This window comes from Homo sapiens, chromosome 4 (assembly GCF_000001405.40).
Source record: "Homo sapiens chromosome 4, GRCh38.p14 Primary Assembly".
Taxonomy (NCBI): Eukaryota; Metazoa; Chordata; class Mammalia; order Primates; family Hominidae; genus Homo; species Homo sapiens.
In genome coordinates, this window is record NC_000004.12 from 2,085,429 (window position 1) to 2,103,337 (window position 17,909).

At 46.6% G+C, this 17,909-nt stretch overlaps 1 protein-coding gene and 1 pseudogene across 1 annotated transcript in view, besides 2 other annotated features; both read right to left on the reverse strand.

Annotated features, from left to right (window-relative positions):
• POLN (DNA polymerase nu) overlaps positions 1 to 17,909 on the reverse strand; it is a 170,204-nt gene that overhangs the window by 13,511 nt on the left and 138,784 nt on the right. Inside the window, exons 20-21 of the mRNA NM_181808.4 lie at positions 10,423 to 10,505; positions 185 to 316 (exon numbers count right to left, since the gene is read on the reverse strand). Coding sequence (NP_861524.2) covers positions 185 to 316; positions 10,423 to 10,505 — 215 coding nt within the window. The remainder of the gene's footprint in view (positions 1 to 184; positions 317 to 10,422; positions 10,506 to 17,909) is intronic.
• LOC100419959 (HBS1 like translational GTPase pseudogene) lies at positions 2,687 to 5,276 on the reverse strand (annotated as a pseudogene).
• Positions 7,357 to 7,857: an enhancer, noted in NCBI's record as "H3K4me1 hESC enhancer chr4:2094512-2095012 (GRCh37/hg19 assembly coordinates)". NCBI's record gives its function as "activates a minimal SCP1, AML or CMV promoter by ChIP-STARR-seq in naive H9 embryonic stem cells {active_cell/tissue: H9 hESC(naive)}" and the evidence as "EXISTENCE:reporter gene assay evidence [ECO:0000049][PMID:30033119]".
• Positions 7,858 to 8,358: an enhancer, noted in NCBI's record as "H3K4me1 hESC enhancer chr4:2095013-2095513 (GRCh37/hg19 assembly coordinates)". NCBI's record gives its function as "activates a minimal SCP1, AML or CMV promoter by ChIP-STARR-seq in naive H9 embryonic stem cells {active_cell/tissue: H9 hESC(naive)}" and the evidence as "EXISTENCE:reporter gene assay evidence [ECO:0000049][PMID:30033119]".

The window sequence follows — 17,909 nt, forward strand, 5'->3', positions numbered from 1 at the left end:
ACTCTTGTCCCTTCTCGTGTGGAACCTTCAGCCTTATTTGTCCAATAAGAGCTGAGGATTCACCCAGGCCCCCAAACCAACCTCAGGACCCAGGGCCCGCCTGCACACCAACCACGCAGCTGTCCCCCCATCCTCCCACAGAGGGTTGGCAGGGAGCAGGGAGCTCTGGTTGTGGCCAACTCACCTGTCTGGTGACACTGGGCAATAGCTGCTCGGGCGAAGTCCTTGATTTTCTTGTACTTCTGCAAAAAACTCTCCAAAAACTGGGCAGCTTCCTGAATAGGAACTCCAAGGCAAGCAGCCAGCCGCTCCTTCCCTGTCAGTCAGAGAGACGCATGTCAAAGCCTCACTCACACCAGCCGTGACTGTGTGCATGGGCTCAGTGAGTCAGGTCCAGCTGGCAGCACTGGTCTTTTCTGATGGGTTGGGATGGAGTTGGCGTTGACTTTACAAGCCAGGTGCTAGGTGCCAATCAATCGGGACTGGGGCCTGTGAAACATGTATTTATTCAGTGATACTGACTCAGTGCCTGCCAGGTGTTTCAGGTGATGTGGTGATGAAGTAGACATGGTCCCTCCTCCCAGTGCGGCCAGTGGGAGATCCAATTCCAGAACTGCGGAGGTTAGAGTGGGGCACAGAGGAAAAGAGGAAGGGGAAGTTCCATGGTCAAAGTATGAGAAAATGGTGCTCAGGAGTTCAACATTTTGTTCTAGAAGATGCAGGTGTTCTTGCGACGCTGCTGGTAGAAATGTCTCTGGTTGGGGCCAGGCATGTGGTGGCTCATGTCTATAATCCCAGCACTTTAGGAGGCTGAGGCAGACGGATCACTTGAGGCCAGGAGTTCAAGATCAGCCTGGGCAACAAAGTAAGGCCTAGTTTCTATTTATTAACAAGAAAAGAAAAAAAGGACTTTGGCTGGGCAGTGGCTGAGTTCCGCAAGCATGTGAGCAGGTTCAGTGACCACAGAAGCCTGGGTCTGGGCCCTGTCCCACCAGGAGGTTCTGTGTGGCCCTGGGGATGTTGCCTGACCCACATTAAAGCCCATTTCTTCACTGTATATTAGGAACAAGAGCCCTTATCCTCAGCTGGGAGCCCCATGAGCTAAGGCATGGGAAGTTCTAAGCAGTGTGTGGTTTCTACTTGGTGCTCAATATACACTCATTCCCTCCCATTTTCCTCCAGAAGAGAATAATAATGTAAATAGAGAATGAGGAATCCATGAGAACATCATCCCTTGCTCGACAGTGGGATCCTAGGGAAAGCCTTGGCCCTGGGGAGTGCTGTATCCTTGGAAGGAACCCCAGAGAGACAAGCAGCCTGAGGACCTGCCTTCCTGGGGGAGCATGGCCGGGACCAGCAGTGGTCTTGGCTGTCCTCTGTGATAGGTAAACTCTAGGGTTGTACTAGAGGGTGCTCCAGGGACCTTTGGACAGGATGGTGCAGAAGCATGGCCCAGGGGGTGAAGGTGTGGGGTCTGTGAAGACCAGGGAAGAACCCTCTGGAGGAATGGGACCGACCAGTCTCTCTGATCCAGCCCTCCTTTCAGCCAGGCCACTCCTGGCCCTGGCCAGCTGATGGTGTAGCAGCTCTGGACAGAGAGAATATTCAAGTCTTAGGAGAGTGAAAAGGCAGGTGTTTGCTTCCATTGCTTTGTCAGCAAGAGTGGGAAGGTCTAGGGTGCCCTGTTCTCCCAAAGTTTATCCCGGCAGAAAGGGATAAAGTCATAGTCCTTCTATGCCCAGGACTGCCTGATGAACTGGCACCATTTGGCTGGAAATGAAAAATCTCCAATATCTCTCTTAGGGCTTAAGATCTATTATTGTGATATATTCACAAATAAGTTATGTGTTTTGCTACACTTTGCTGAAATAATTCATCTATGACTCTTTCTTTCTGTCAAATTCCAACCACCATCCTCACCTAGTGCCTCAGCTATGGCACTGCAATGGAAAATTCCATTGGCTCTCAGAAAGAAATCAGATGGTGGCCAGATACACAAGGCTGGCCAGATGGGACTTTCTTTGAGTATCTTCTTAGACAAGTCTTTTCTCACCTCCAATCTGCTGTTAAGCCCATCTGGTGAATTTTTTATTTTGGATATATAGTTTTCAGTTCTAGAAATTCCATTTTAGAATTTTATTTCTTGAAGTTTTCTTTTTTTCATTTATTAAGAGCATATTTTCTTTTACTTCCTTGAGCTTAGTAATTAATAGAAACTTTAAAATCCTTGTCTGTTAATTCCAACATCTGGGTCATCTCAGGATCTGTTTCCATGATTGCCTTCTCTCTTGAGTATGGTTAAGCTATTCTGTTTCTTCCTGTTTAGGAATTTGGGGTTATATATTGGATATCATGCATGATATACGTAGAGTTTTAGATCCTATTATATTCTTCTAAGGGGTGCTATTTTTTTTTTCCTTTTGAGACAGTGTCTTGCTGTGTTACCCAGGCTGGAGGGCAATGGTATGATCATAGCTCACTGCAGCTTTCAATTCCTGGGCTCAAGCAATCCTCCTGCCTCAGCCTTCTGAGTAGCTACAGATGTATGCCCACTGTGCCTGGTTAAGGAGTACTAATTTTTTGTTTACACTTTTTATATATTTATTTTGAAGTGTTTATTTAGGACAAATGGTTTTTAAAAATGTATAAAAATAATTCACATATAAATCCAACTTCTATATTTACATGGTCCCTTAAAAGATTTTCATTTTATTATCATTAAAAATGTATTTCAACAATCTCCACAGTACTCTCAAAGGTCAGGAATTTTAAGATTTTCTAATAGAAAAATTTTAGTATTTATCTACAGAAAAATAATGAAACTAGGAATTATATCGTATTTTAAAACATAATGTCTCAACTATGCTGTGCCACATAAGAATAATCTTCACACTAAACTATAATAATTCCAAGTGCTGGCATTTTCGTTTATGAACAAAGCACAAAAATATCTCATAGAAAAAAATATTTCATCATAAAAAACATAGAAAGTTGAATGCTTCAAACAAAAATATCTGAGGTCTGATTTCACAACATCCAGTTTCCATATCCACTTTGTAAACATATACTCAGTATAGGTTACCAACTTAAATAAAGCCTGTTATCACTGAAAGAAGACATAGTTTAAAAAAAATTCAGTGCAAAAATACGCATTAGCTAATCAACTGATCTACAACAATTTTCATGAAAATCACAATTTGAATCCCATAATATAAAGTGATCCTCTAAGACTTTAATTAAAAATAAAAAGCTGTACAACAGCCATCAAGTTTTCTTTTGTTACTATTCTCTAGTAAATGCTTTTTTTTTATTAGCTTTTACAATGTCATCAGGTGATGCTGATTTGAAGTCAAATGGTATTATCGCTACAAGAGGACTTATTTCTTTGTCCTTTACATCTTGAACTTGTCTACTATAAAGAAAAGTCTTACAGAGGTCAAGGGTGCGTCGCTTGCAGCTTTTTAGTGGGTAACGAAGACACAGTGTTGAGGCAAAAGCTGAAGGTCTAGCAGCAACGGCCTTGGTCCGAGACAGAGAAAAAGGTGGTTTCCTAGTCAGACAGCCTTTATTGTTTTTCTCATTATCCTTAGCAAAATTGGATTTCTTCCCTAGCTTTGAACTTAGAACTTTAGTTCGTGATGAAGGAGCAATGGATTGGTCTACTATAGGCTTTGGAAGAAAATCTGGGTTTTTTTTATAAGGACCCTAAGATCAATATTTGAATCTATTCCAGGAGACCTCACTTCAGATAAACTGACCTCAAAGGACTCTTTCTTAATCTGAGAGTTGTATACATCAATTGTTTCTGCAATCAATTCAGAAAGTGACAAATTCTCAAGGTCTCTTGTGGGAGAAGCTTTAGGAAATGCCAATGACAACATAGATCCTGTTAATTCTGATATTCCTGGTGAAGACTGACAGTGATTTGCTAATTGTGACAGGGGAAAGGATCCCAAACTTAGATCTGTGAAACTGACAGATGACTGGTTACAAAGGTCAGACAAAGTAAAGCACTGGCTTATATTGTTTTCTTTGTGTTCCCGAAACAGTTCAGTTAGGGATGGACTTTCACACTGGGAAAACTGCAAATTATCATTTTTAAAAATGTAATTCTTGGCACTTTGTTCAACTAAAGAAACACTTCCAACTTCAGTTTCTTTACTAGCATTTAAATTATCAACAGTCATATTTTCCAACAAGCTAGTTAAGCACAAAGGATTATCTGAACTTCCTAAACTGTCCTGTACTGGAATGTTTTAAAAATCAGATAGTGAATTACTTTGAATATATGAAGAATTATTCAGTGTTGTGCTCTTTATCATTATGGACTTTAAATCTGGTATTTCTTTGAATGCAGAATCATCTTTGGAAGCACATTCAGATGGATGAAGTCTCAACAAATCAGCATCTAGGTTCTTTGAAAGCAGACTTTCCAGACTGTCTGTAGATGACAATCTGACTGATGGCTGACTTTCACAGGAATCTCTTGACATATCAGGAATTAAGTTAGCTAGTGAAAGTTCTTTTGTTAACCTACATGATTCTGGTTTCTTTTCACTTTTAAGTCTGTCAAGTTTCTTTTTCCTATGGAGTAAACAGTGACTTGGAACTGAAGAATTATGAGATAATCCATATTTTCCTACTGAGCTAGAAAAATCAAAGGGTTTGCTACTATAATCCAAATGATTTGCTAACTGAGGATAAGAACTTTGAACATTATCAGCTGAAACTTCAGAAGAAGAAAATAAGACTCCTTACCTTTTGCTATCTTTCCTGTAGATACTCTTCCCTCATTCTTGTCCTTCAAATTCTACATGCTATCTTGTTCCAGAACCTCTGACAAAGGCTTCTGCACATCAAACTTGTTCTTCAGAACTGATTCAATCAATATTTCATCTGGCACAGCATCTCCAAGTACTTTCTCTCATGTGATCAAGGCATGAATAAAAACGAGCTTGATTAAATCCACTGAGCTGATGGTTCGAAACATAATTGAAAGATTCTTTCAGATCTTCATGATCGTATTCTTCTATAGGCTCAACGGAAGGTTTGTCACGCTGTGAATAAATAAACTGAGCAGCTGTTGATAGCAAAATACAAGAATCATCCTCTACAGACTGGCCATGGTGATCATCATCTTCAAGATCTTCATCGCAGTCACAGCCTCGAACATTCCGATGCTGGGCCATGACGGTGGAGAGGGCGTTTGCTACAGCCCCTTAACTCCTTCCAAAACACTCCGCTTAGATACTGATAAGGTGCCAGCTCAGGAGTACTATTTTTAAAGGGGCACTTAGTTTGGCTAAAATCAAACTCTGTCTCCCTGTAGTGGGAAAACACTGAAATCTCAGGTCAGTCCTTTTTGCCTTGGCTTCTGGGTTGTTTGAAGTCTGTCCCATTCATGCATAGTTAGGGGTCAGCCAAGGATCTGAGCAGAGTTCAAACCTAGAATTTGGCCTCATTTCCTGGCTCTCTTCTTTCTAGAATTTCTCATTTCACTTTCCAGATCCTCTGGTTGTCCAGAACTCTGTCCTCCAGTTCTTCAAGCTAGTAGGATTGTATGTTCTAGCAGAGTTTCTGTCCCCACAGCATCAACTGAGGTTTGCCTTCAGGTGAGGGTCTATAGAATGAGAAATTCACCAGTGCCATTCCTTTCTTCCAGGTGTCAGCTGACCTCCAATTTCTGTTGCTCTGGTCACTTCCCAGTGCCTCTGGGTAGTTGTCTTTTTATACATTTTCCACAGTTTATAGTTGATCCCTGTGTGAGGGCTGCTCCAATGGGAGCGACTTGGCCATAACCAGAAGTCATGCCTTGCTTTCTAAATACTTATGGCCAAGGGAGAATCCCTTTCCTTTCTTCTATGGAGCTGTCGGGATCTCTGAAGGGCAGCAGGTGGCCCCGGTCCCCAGGCATAAAGAAAGCCCATCCACAAGAGAGCGGACGGTGTGGTGGCTCCACAAGCAGCAGGGACGAGAGACTGAGATGGAGCCTGAGGGTCTGGGAGGCCTTCCAGGCCCTGGATCTTTGCTCCTCACTCCTTGGACACCCTTAGCAGTGGGACTGTCACACTCAAAGGCCACTGTCCCTTCCCCAAGCAGGATGGCTTTTGGCTCTGTGGGGACTTCTCTGTCCCATGCTTCCGCTGGACTGCTCCTTCTTTTCATAGAACTTGTCCCCACACTGTGATTCCGTTGATCCTGTTTCACACACAGGCCCTGAGAGATCTGCATGCTGGGGACACTAAGTACTCCATACCTCTGAAATCCTACACGAACACACAATTTGACTCTTCCCACAGACGGCTAACCCTATCCGGTGGGTACACGTGAATCTGTGTGTGTGTGTGTGTGTGTGTGTGTGTGTGTGTGTGTGCGCGCGCTACAATTTGACGTTTAGCAGGGACAGTCTTCACTCCCTTCACTCCCTTTTCTCCGAGTGCTCTTCTGCCCCACACATATTGCTAACAGGCTTTCACTCCTGTTTATGTCTCTAGGGCTGAGCAAGTGCCTGCACATAGTGGGCCTGTGGGAACATGGGCTGGTCTAGCTGGAACAGACCTGACATTGAATCCTACGCTGCTTTCAAAACTCAGCTCGGGTGTTGCTGCTCTGGGCCAGCTCCTGGACTCTCCCAACTCTCCCTGGGCTGGGTCCCTCCCCTGGCTCCCTTGGCACCAGGGACTCCTGCAGATGCACTGATGGCACAGTGCTGTGCGCCCAGGCCTCCTCCCGTGTCTCCTCTGACAGGTGCGAGCCCCTCGGGAACAGGCACTGAGCCAGGCGGTGTGCCCTCAGCACAGGCCTGTGGGTCACGTGATGACTGGATGTGGAGGCAAGCTTCAGAGTCAGGGAATCATCTGAGAAGACCCAAGGATTTGACTCTAGGAGCCATAAACACTCAGATCAAGACCCGAGGAGTCAAGAGCTGCTTCCAGGAGAAGGCAGGTTCCTGCTGGGCTCAGCAGCAGCTGTGCGCAGGGCCGTCAGGCTGGGGACGGACATTTGAATTCAGTTGACTGATGGAGGAGCAGTGAGCCTGTGAGCCAGCCTCTGGGGTCAAGGCTCCCAGACAGTGGCTGCTCTGTTACTCCATGTGTTCCCTACCAGCTCCCCCACGGTGGCTGCGGGGACTGAGCACACAGACCCTGCACCTTCTGGGGCATCTCCCCTGCCTCTCACAAAGTCCTGCTGCTTCCTCTGCTGTATTCATCACAGTCTTCACAATAGTCATGTCACCGATTTCTCAAGAATGTGTAGGAATCATGCCTTGCCCCATGCCCTCAGCATTTGTGGGCCGTTCAGAGGTATGTTATGTGAAAACACGTCACTACAATCCGCTGAAAGCTGGTAGGTGCAAAGCTCCTCTATGGAGTTTCCAAAGCGCCCCAGCAGCCTGGGAGGCCTGGCAAGTTGACTGGCTTCCTCAGTCCCAGCTCATGTGACAAAGTTTCAAACACAAGGAGAACAGAGACCAGCCTAAGCCCACAGCAGTGGATACACAGTAATTCCAGCTGTCAAGCCAGACCGGAACAATGGGAACAGCAGAGCCGGAGGCTCAGGGTGGGAACCCTTGTCACTGTCACAGCTAAAAGCAGCCAAATTACCCTTTTCAACATTATGGCTAATGACTCAGTGCTTATTTACAAAATGTAGCTCTTTTCCTCTCCAGAAAAAAAAAAAAAGTGAATACTCCAGAAGGAGCCAAACGGGTGGCAGAGAAGACCACCTTTTTCTGGGTAGGTGGGGGCATCCATCCTGCTGGAGGACAGCTGCCCCACGGCAGGTGCTCGGCACTCTCATTCTCCATCCCTCCCTCCTAGCTGGATTTGGGGTGGCTGCCCCCACTGGGGACAAGGCCGGGGCTGCCACAGGAGACCTACAGAAGCTGCTCAGTCACTTGGAGGCATTTACTGACATGGCACAGAAGTGAAGTAGGACTCAGACGTAACGGCAGATGACAGAGATGAGAGCTGACTGTGTGCCAGGTATGGCCCCATGCACCCTATGAGAGCATTTTCCCAGGAGGAGATGGCACAGGGAGGCGGAGGGCCTTGCACAAGGCCACACAGTCAGGAGCTGATAGGGTTGGGGATCAAGCCCAGGCTGCCGGGCCCAGGACTGGGGAGGTGATGTCCTGCCGGCAGAGCAGAAGCAAATGTTATGTTTGCAACACAAGATGCAGCAGGATGCAAGGCAACAAACTCTCATATAATTTGGCAGAGTGATGCCTTCCCCCAAGACAGAGGCCCCAGGGAGGTTCAGGGGTGCAGCACAGAAGAGGCTGAGAGGAGGCAGTGGACCAAGCAACTCTGAGGAGAATCAATCCAATGTCACACTACTGTCACTCACAGAACCTAGTTCTTTAAAACAAAGTTTCTTAGTCTATTTTCCAAAAACCATGTATACAATCAAAATGTTTTCAAAAGTGGAGCTGAGACCACCAAGTCCACTAATTTGTTCCTGTGTCTTCTCTGTGCCAGGCAGTGAGCTAACGTGATGAGCTCCTATCTTTGAGGTACTCATGTTTGAGCTGGGGCATGAGACCATGAACAGGCGAGTGGGTGCCCAAGGTGTGAGGCCCATGTGGCAAGGAGCTGAGACCACCTCCGGCTGACAGCCAGCAAGAAACAGAAGCCAGCCAGGTGCGGTGGCTCATGCCTGTAATCCCAGCACTTTGGGAGGCCAAGATGGGCAGATCACTTGAGGTCAGGAGTTCAAGACCAGCCTGGCCAACATGGTGAAACCCCATCTCTACTAAAAATACAAAAATTAGCCGAATGTGGTGGCAGGTGCCTGTCACCCCAGCTACTCAGGAGGCTGAGGCAGGAGGCTTGAGCCCAGGAGTTGGAGGTTGAGCCAATTTTGTGCTCAATGCAGTGAGCCGAGATTGTGCCACTGCATTCCAGCCTGGGGGATAGAGCAAGGTTCTGTCTCCAAAAAAAAAAAAGAAAGAAAGAAACAGAAGCCAACAAAGTGGATCCTTCCCCAGTCAAGCCACAGATGTGATCACAGCCCCAGCCAACACCCTGACTGCAGCCCCTGCAGGGGACCCAGCTATGGCATGCCCACACCCAGAGAAACTGTGAGATAGTGTGTATTATTTTAAGTTACTACATTTGTGGCAATTTGTTACCTAAGAAATGGGTAACAAATACTGTGGTTGAGGAAGGTTGCACAGGGGAGAGTTGAGCACAGGTCTGCAGAAGTGAGGGATGGGTTCTGGTGGTACAGGGGCAGGTGTTCCCATAGAGGGAAGAGTAGTGCAAAGCTCTGAGGTTGGAGCTGGCCTGGCTGATTGGCTGTGGTTCTAGACAAGCTATCCATCCACAGTTTTGGGGCGGGGCACTCTGGACGCTTGTTCAACGGCACCACATTCTCAATGGAGACTGTAGGGCAGCTCTTAGGGACAATCTACTATGTGCTTGCCCCGTTATTCTTCCACTGAAGCTTGTTTGGTTTTGCTGCCTTTCTGTGAATAAACAAAGGGTTTCCATGGCAGGATGGTGAATCTTCTTTTCAGGGTCTTTGCACAAGCCCTGCTACCCAAAGAAGAACTGATCACAGGGAAAAGGAGGTCTGAACAGGCTTAAGAAGGAGCTGGCTGGCTGGGGAAACTAGGCCATGCTGATTCAGCATGACCCAGGGCCAGAAAAGAATTAAAAAATCCCAGACAGCCCATGTCAGGGAGTCCAAGGGAGAGTAGAAGAAGGGTGAGTGGAAGAGAGTAGAAGGCCTGCTCTGACATGGGTATTGGGGCTAGGGGGTAGGGGGAAGGAGGGAGAGGAGCAGAAACAGGAAGGGAAGCAAAAAGGGGAGGGGAGGGAGAGGCTTGCAGAAGAGGCCCCAGGCAGCCCAAACCTCTGGCCTTCAGTCCTTCCTGGCCTAGCCCCGCTTTCTCCTATCTGCTACCCCTGAGATTGGACCCCTACTGCTCTGCTCCCAGCCCAAGGCCTGGCTCTGCCCTCTCTGGGGTGCTTTGGCTGCATGGCCCAGCTGGGTGAGCTCTGCCCTAGGGAGATGGGGTGCATGTTGAGATGTGGCAATGAGTCCAAGCGCTGCACACCTTGAGGCTATCTAACTTTATAATGCCTTGGCATGTGTGTGGACGAGGGTCTCCTCGAAGGTCTCCAAGCACAGCAGTGGTGCCTAGCACAGTGGTATGGTGTAGGGGTGGAGCCAACGGCTTGGTCACACTTGACCTGCCCAGCTCCGCGGCCTCCCCTGAGAGGCTGGATGTGACTCTGAGCAGGTCAAGGCATGGGGTGGTCTGGCCAGTGTCTGGTGACTGCAGGTGTCATCAGAGCATAAACAACACCCAGGGACTCACAGACGATTTCTGAGGCACAGCCACATTTAAACACAGGCACACAGCTGCCAGCTTACAGGTAACCCCGAGACCCCAGCTCCCGGCCCGCAGCCTACCTGCTCCATAGACCACCGCGTACACCACCTTCTTGGTTTGCTCTCTGTCTGCGTGTGTCACCTGTTCCACGGGCACATCCTTCCTGCATGGAGAGACCATGTGTGAAGTTCAGGCACAGAAGGCACTGTCAGTGCAGGGCAGACAGTCCAACCACACACCCCACCACTGTGCTTCCTCTGGAAATTCCTTATGCTTTCATGGTGGCCGGCACACTGGCAGGGGAGACATTCCATACCTGTGGTGTCAGCTCAGCAAGGGCCCCAGGCAGATGCCTTCGGCGAGGCTGCAGCAGCTGCTGCCAGCCAAGCACCACCCCACGTTCCCAGGTGTCCACAAATCAAAACCCAAAACTGCTTTCACCAAAGGCATGCCCATCCAACTTCAGGAAAGGCCGTTCCCCATATTGGGGTGCCTGGGCCTGGGCCACGTCTGTGTCTGCTGCAGTGGGGGAGCTGGTTTCTAGGCCTATCTAGTCCCACTGCTTGACTGGATGAACAACTCTGTCCTGGCCTCCCACAGACAGAGGCCATGGGGGTGAGCCCCACCCTGGAGCTACAGCATTCAGATAGAATAAGGATCAACTCAGCATCTGACTGGCATGTGAACCACAGCAATCTCCAGAGATTAAAGCTGAGACATCTGAGTAGCACAGGAGCTCCAGAGCACTCCCAGCACCACCAAGAGTCCCTCCTCCTCCGAGAGCACCTTCAAAGGACAGGCAGCCTGACATGTACCCTCGGTGCCACCTCCTGCCTGCTGCTTTTGTAAACATCCTTATCATCTACACCAGGCCTCCCTGATGGAGTGGGCATCTCAGATTCAGAAGCCGAGAGAAAGAGAGAGAGAGAGAGAGAGAGAGAGAGAGAGAGAGAGAGAGAGACACACAGAGAGAAACAGAAAAAGTAACAGAAACTTCTCCCAATCTGTTTTGTGGATGGCTTTGTGCTGGGGCCTCCTTCATTGCTTAGCCAGGCTTTTCACAGCTCTACCTTAGCCTTCACTTCCTACTTGCACTGAGCATAGAGACCAGCCCCAGGTGAAAGCTCAGGTCTTCTTAGATCTTTTCTGAGCATGCAAGCTCTCTGCGCATGTATGGTGCTTTCTACATTTCCCGATATCCACAGGTACTTTTGAATGCCCTAATTTCCAAAAGCATCTCTCTCCTCAGTTTTTCTTCCAGAGCTTTCAGTGCTTCATTGTTTGCCTCAACTATAATTTTTAGCTCCAGGAAGCTGCAAGTTATTTGCCTTACAATGTTTCCAAGCAACGTCTGCCACTCTTCTGCAGCAAGTGGGTTCTGAGTTAGGTGAAACAATGACAAGTGCCTGTGGCAGCCCTTCAGGCAGCCACCAGACTGGTGAGAATAAATACCCACTTCTTTTCGAGTAAGGTGTGCTCTGCCTCCAGAAGCAGGGACCAGGTCCCATGCTAGGAACATGCTGCTGCCTTCAAGATTGGGGGGTGGGAGGAGGGCAGACAGAGTCATCACCAGGCTCTCCTACCATTTTTTTTTTTTTGAGACAGAGTCTTACTCTGTCACCCAGGCTGGAGGGCAGTGGTGCGATCTCGACTCACTGCAACCTCTGCCTTTTGGGGTCAAGTGATTCTCCTGTCTCAGCCTCCTGTGTAGCTGGGATTACAGGCACCTGCCACCATGCCCAGCTAATTTTTGTATTTTTAGTAGAGACAGGTTTTATCATGTTGGCCAGGCTGGTCTCAAACTCCTGACCTCGTGATCAGCCCGCCTTGGCCTCCCAAAGTGCTGGGATTACAGGCGTGAGCCACCGCACCAGGCTCTCCTACCATTTTTAAGTTTTTTCTTATTTTTCTTTTTTTAGAGGTAGGGTCTTGCTTGTTCCCCAGACTGGTCTTGAACTCCTGGTCTCAAGGGATCCTTCTGCTTCAGCCTCTGAAAGTTGAAAAGCTGGGATTACAAGTGTGAGTCACCATACCCCACCTGCCTTTTTCTTGATTCAGCATTTGCTTGGTTGCTGTAAACCTTTGCCTATTTTTCAAAGTTTTGATGAAGTTGGTTGAGACAGTTTTGTTAGATTTTTCAATGTTTCTTTGGGGGACAGGCCCATGGGGCTGTGTACCCCACCATTCTTGCTGACATCCCAGACTTCACTGATTTTTTGCCACCTAATTTCTAAGTACCAATGCATTTCCAGTTTTCCCCCTTTTCCTGCTGTGTTAAGCTATTTTGCCACCTTGTTTAGCCACCCTTAAACTTGGCATTGTTAACAGCTATATTTAGATAAGAAGCAAAAAGCCAAAATGGGCTGGGTGCAGTGGCTCATGCCTGTAATCTCAGAACTTTGGGGGGCCTAGGTGGAGGGATCATTTGAGGCCAGGAGTTCGAAACCAGCCTGGGCAACATAGCAAGACCCTGTCTCTACAAAAATGAAAAATAAAAAATTAGCTGGGCATGATGATATGCCCCTGTGGTCCCAGCTACTTGGGAGGCTGAGGTGGGAGGACTGCTTGAGCCTGGGAGGTTGAGGCTGCAGTGAGCCATGAGTGTGCCACTGCACTCCAGCCTGGGCGACAGAGTAAGACCCTGTCTAAGTGAATAAACAACTACATGACATTTTTGTAGACTATTTTATAAAATATTTTTAAACTTAACCAAATGAAAATGTATCATAGAGGTCTTGGTAAGTTTAGATTGATGCCAGGTACATAAGCAAGAGAAGGAGCTAGAATGATCCATGGGTAATGGGTTAGCACTGGAGACATCAGTATGAACTCATGATAAGCTCCATGTTGATGCACATGGTTACATAGAGAAATATCTAAAGATGTGTGTATACACACAGGTTGGCATGCATGCACAACTTCTTGTTCTGTCAGCTGAGAGGGCCTAGAAGCAACCTGCTCAGTAGCAAAGAGCACCTAGCACCAGAACTTGGCCTTTAATAGCCATTCTCCAGTAAAAAATGGGGCTCCTTGGAGAAATGGCTGATTCCAGGACTGGGGCAGGAAACATACAAGATGAACCTGGAATATCTTTTAGTGCCAGAAAGCAAGGAAGTGATAAATGTGTGTGCACATGCACGTGCGTGCGCACACACACACACACACACACACACACTGAAGAGGTTAAGTCAAGGGACACAGGAGCCAACTGAAAGAGGTCCCAATGGCCAAAGCTGGAACAATTTAAGCGAGAAAACAAAAAATAAATTGTATTATAGCTATCCCAAAGTAAAAAATAAATATTCATGAATCCATACGAATTTGGATTCAAAGGATTAAATAAATAAATGGGGGAGAACACAGATCTCCCACACAGAAGAAATCCAAATAATGTATATAGATACCCTGTTCTTAAGAAGACAAAGGGTAACCCCCAACTCCTTAATTAGAGGCTATGCTTAGTGACTTGCTCTCAAAGGGTACCATGTGGAATCGGAGTAGAAGAGAGTATCTTTATAGTAGAGAAACCTGACAAATACGCTGTCACCCAGGTGACCCAGGTCAGCATCAGCAGGGGTAAGTCCTGTTGACAGTGCAAGTCCCTGATTCAGTGTGAAGGGAACGGCCCTGCACCTCTGTGCTCTTCCTCCCTCAAACCCCAAATCCCAGTCTAGTCATGAGAAAAACATCGGACAAACACCAATTGAGGGACATTCTACAAAATACCTGACCAGTCCTCCTCAAAACTGTCAGGGTCATTGAAAACAGGGCAAGTCCAAGAAAGTGTCGCCATCAAAAGGAGCCTACAGAGACTGTGACTAAAAGCAGTGTGGTGTCATGGAGGGGGTCCTGGAGCAGAAAGGGGACAGCAGGGAAAGACTGAGGAAATCCAAGTCATGTGTGGACTTTAGTTTATAATAACATACCAGTATTGGGTTCATTCATTGTGACAAATGTACCATATTAATGGAAAACATTCATAACAGGGAAGCAGGGGTGGGATATATGAGAACTCTTTGTACTATCCTTGCCATTTTTATGTCAATTTAAAACTGTTCTAAAATAAAAAGTTTATTTAAAAAAGTGATCCAGTTCAAGACCAGCCTGGGCAACATGATGAAACCTTGTCTCTACTAAAAATACAAAAAAATTAGCCAGGTGTGGTAATGTACACCTGCAGTCCCAGCTATGTGGTGGGCTGAGGCAGGAGGATCACTGGAGCCCGGGAGGCTGAGGCTGCAGTGAGCTGAGATTGTGCCACTGCACTCCAGCCTGGGTGACAGAGTGAGACCCTGTCTCAAAAAAGAAAAAAAAAGAAAAAGAAAAAAGAGAGAGAGAGATCCAAAAATTATGCTAGGGTTCAAATCGTTTATATGGTATGACTTGATTTTAAGTCATAAAATTGCAGATAAATAGTGGGGGAAAGCCCACAAGTAAGTCTAGTGGGCTTATGGAAATCTGGTTTTTGTTATTTTGATAACTGGTATTTAAATTTTTTGTAACCAATGAAAATTATAAAGAAAAAATTAGCCATAAAAAATTCCACGGTAAATACAGGAGAGTCAATAGCTTTCCTACTAGTAATAAACAGAAACTACAATAAAAGAAAAGGACCACACTCACAATAGCAATAGAAACCTCAACATACCTGACAATAAGTTTAAGAAGAAATGCACCAGACTTTCATTAAGGAAGGGGGCATTAAAAGACACAGTGGAAGATGTGCTGTGCTCCTGGACAGGAGAATACAACAGTGAAAAGACATCAACTTTGCCATATCCAGTTTTACCTTAGCACACTTTCAATTAAGGTATCGGGAGGACTGGGGGGTGAATACTTAAGAAAGCAATTCTAAATTTCATCTGAAAAACAAACCAAATGAGAACAGTCAGGCCAAAGTTAAAAAGGGCGAGTAATGAGGAAGAACAGGGAAAGGTACACAAAACTCAATACTGATGCAGGAGTAAAAATAGATAAATCAGGGGAAGCAAAGAAAAAGCCCCAAACAGGCTGTAGTATATTTTAAAACATGATTTGGCATTTTAAATCTATACTGGGTTGGAATTGACTAATTATTTGGGAAACTATGAAGTTAAATGCCTACTTCCTATCATACACAAAAATAAATTAGAAGCTCATTAATGTAAAAACAATCATGAAAGGATGATGTTGAAATACATATACAGAGTAGAACAGAGAGCCCAGTGGCAGTGCTGGGGCTCATGGGCCTTGGTGTGTTGCAGAGGTGAAACACTGGACGTGGCCCCATGCATTGACCTGGGACAACTGGCTCACCATGGTGGAAAAAATCAAATTAGATCTTTGTTGCCACACAAATCACAAAAATGGGGTCCAGATTGAGTACATGCCTAAACATGAAAAAAAAAAATCAAAACTGAAATAAGGCTAAAGAAAACAAAGAATACATGAGTCTCATAAATAGGAGTGTGTTGAAAAGAAACACAAACAATACAAACCATACTAAGAAATGTCTTTTTTTTCAAGGCAGCTGATTAGATGCATTTCAAGCATGCCTCATCCACTTAAAAGAACCAAAATGCTATGTAGACAATCACACTTTGAATACATTATCCAAGACAGAACACAGCAGTTCAACAGAAAAGCAAAAGAAAACTCCACAATCTAGGAAGAAGGAAAACAGGCAGCCTGCATGGCCCGGACGGGCTGGGAACCAGAGTGACTCCCCAGTACCGGAGGGGGTGATAATCTTTCTGTGGTCCACTTTCCCACTGGGGGATTGTACAATCCAGGCCATAGGAGAGCACCTTAACCCTCCCCAGTCCTGCTCCAGGGAGGGAACATGCCCTGGGTCCCACGTCCTTCCTAAGACCTAAGCAGCTAGAGTAAGATGTCATTCTTGGTCCTAGCTTTTAACAGACTGTGTGGTGCCATGAAACAATGGCGTTAGGCCTAGGCATTAGGAAAACTTGGGCTGCTGCTTGTGGAACAAGGGTGTGAGCAGAGTGTGAGCTCCCACAACTAGAACTGGGAAGCAAGCATGGCATGGGCTGCAGCCACCATCGTTGAAAGTAGGCACTTCCCCTGGGAACTGAGCAGGACGAGAGTAGCTGTGGAGGCTTGGTCTTGAGCTGGGTAGGGGCTCTTATGCCCCAGGGCTGAATTGTGGGTTAGATGTGAGCTGCCAGGTCTGACTGAACAGTGAGTCAGCTGTGACAGCTGGGATGGGGGAGGATGCCTGGATTGGACTGGGGTGTGAGAGGGACACAAGTTCCCCACTCTCCAGCCAAGGCTGTGATCACTGGAACAGGCCCTAACTCCCACAGCAGGACCTCAGCATAGTGGCTGTTGCCCTTCACTCAAACATTTCACCAGGGGCCTGGGGATTGCCATGCCCTCCCTAGCCCTTCACCAAGGCAGGTGCATGCACTTTCCACTGGGGGGCACTTAACACTGGGGGTCCAGCACAAGTTCACCTGGTCTGGCTGTGCCTGCCTTCATCCCCAACAGAGTGCAGGATCCACGGTCCTGGGGGTTCCACAACCCAATTTACCACCTGGGACACTCAAGCACTTTTCCAGGGGGGCAGAGGTCAGGCATAAACACCCTACCATTACCACCTCAGCTGGCTCCTACCTGCAAGTGCTGCCTGCTGGCCTGGGGGCTGGCCTGCAAAGCCCATTGCAACCACTGCCAACACAAATGCACAGCACTTGGGACCCAACAGAGCATCTCACAACCACTGCTACTACCATCACTCAAACCATCCTGGCTGCCCAGGAGCTCGAGAGCCCACTCACCCAACCAGGACATCACTAGTACAAATGGCATCTGAGAAAGCCAACCAGAGGCCCAAGAACTGGTCTGCCTGGAACCGCCAATACAGGTGCCAGCATATGTTGTCCCAGGGCACAAGGACAGACATGCTTAGCCCACTAAGAGAGAGTGGCTGAAACCTGAAGAGAGGCCCATCTGGCATTTTAGTCCCCACACAACTTTACCACAGCCTCCACCAATACCTACACCCTAACATCCCAAAGAAACCACAGATACCACTAATGCTATTCACAGCCAAAGAAATCATACAGAGTCTTCACTACTACACGCACTCAGAAACAAAGCCAAAGGGTCCTACCCAACCAACAGAGAGTCACATCTTCAGGAACCCCCACACTCAAATGAAAGTAAATTAAAAAATAAGAAGCAGCAACTGTTACACCAGATGTGCAGAAATCAATGTAAGGACACAGGAAACATGAAAAAGCAAGGTAGTATGACACCCTCAAAGGAACACAATAATTCTCCAGCAATAGATCTTAACCAAAAAAGAAATCCTCAAAATCCCAGATAAATAATTCAAAATGCTGATTTTTAAAGAAGCTCAATGAGATGCAAGAGAAATCTGGAAAATCAATACAAAGAACTCAGAAAATTAATTCAGGATGAATTAAAATTAATTCACAAATGAGAAACTTACCAAAGAAATAGATATCTCTAGAAACAAAACCAAAAAAACCAACTAAACCGACTTTCTGGAACTAAAAAATTCATTGAAAGGAATGTAAGATACATTTGAAAGCTTCAACAA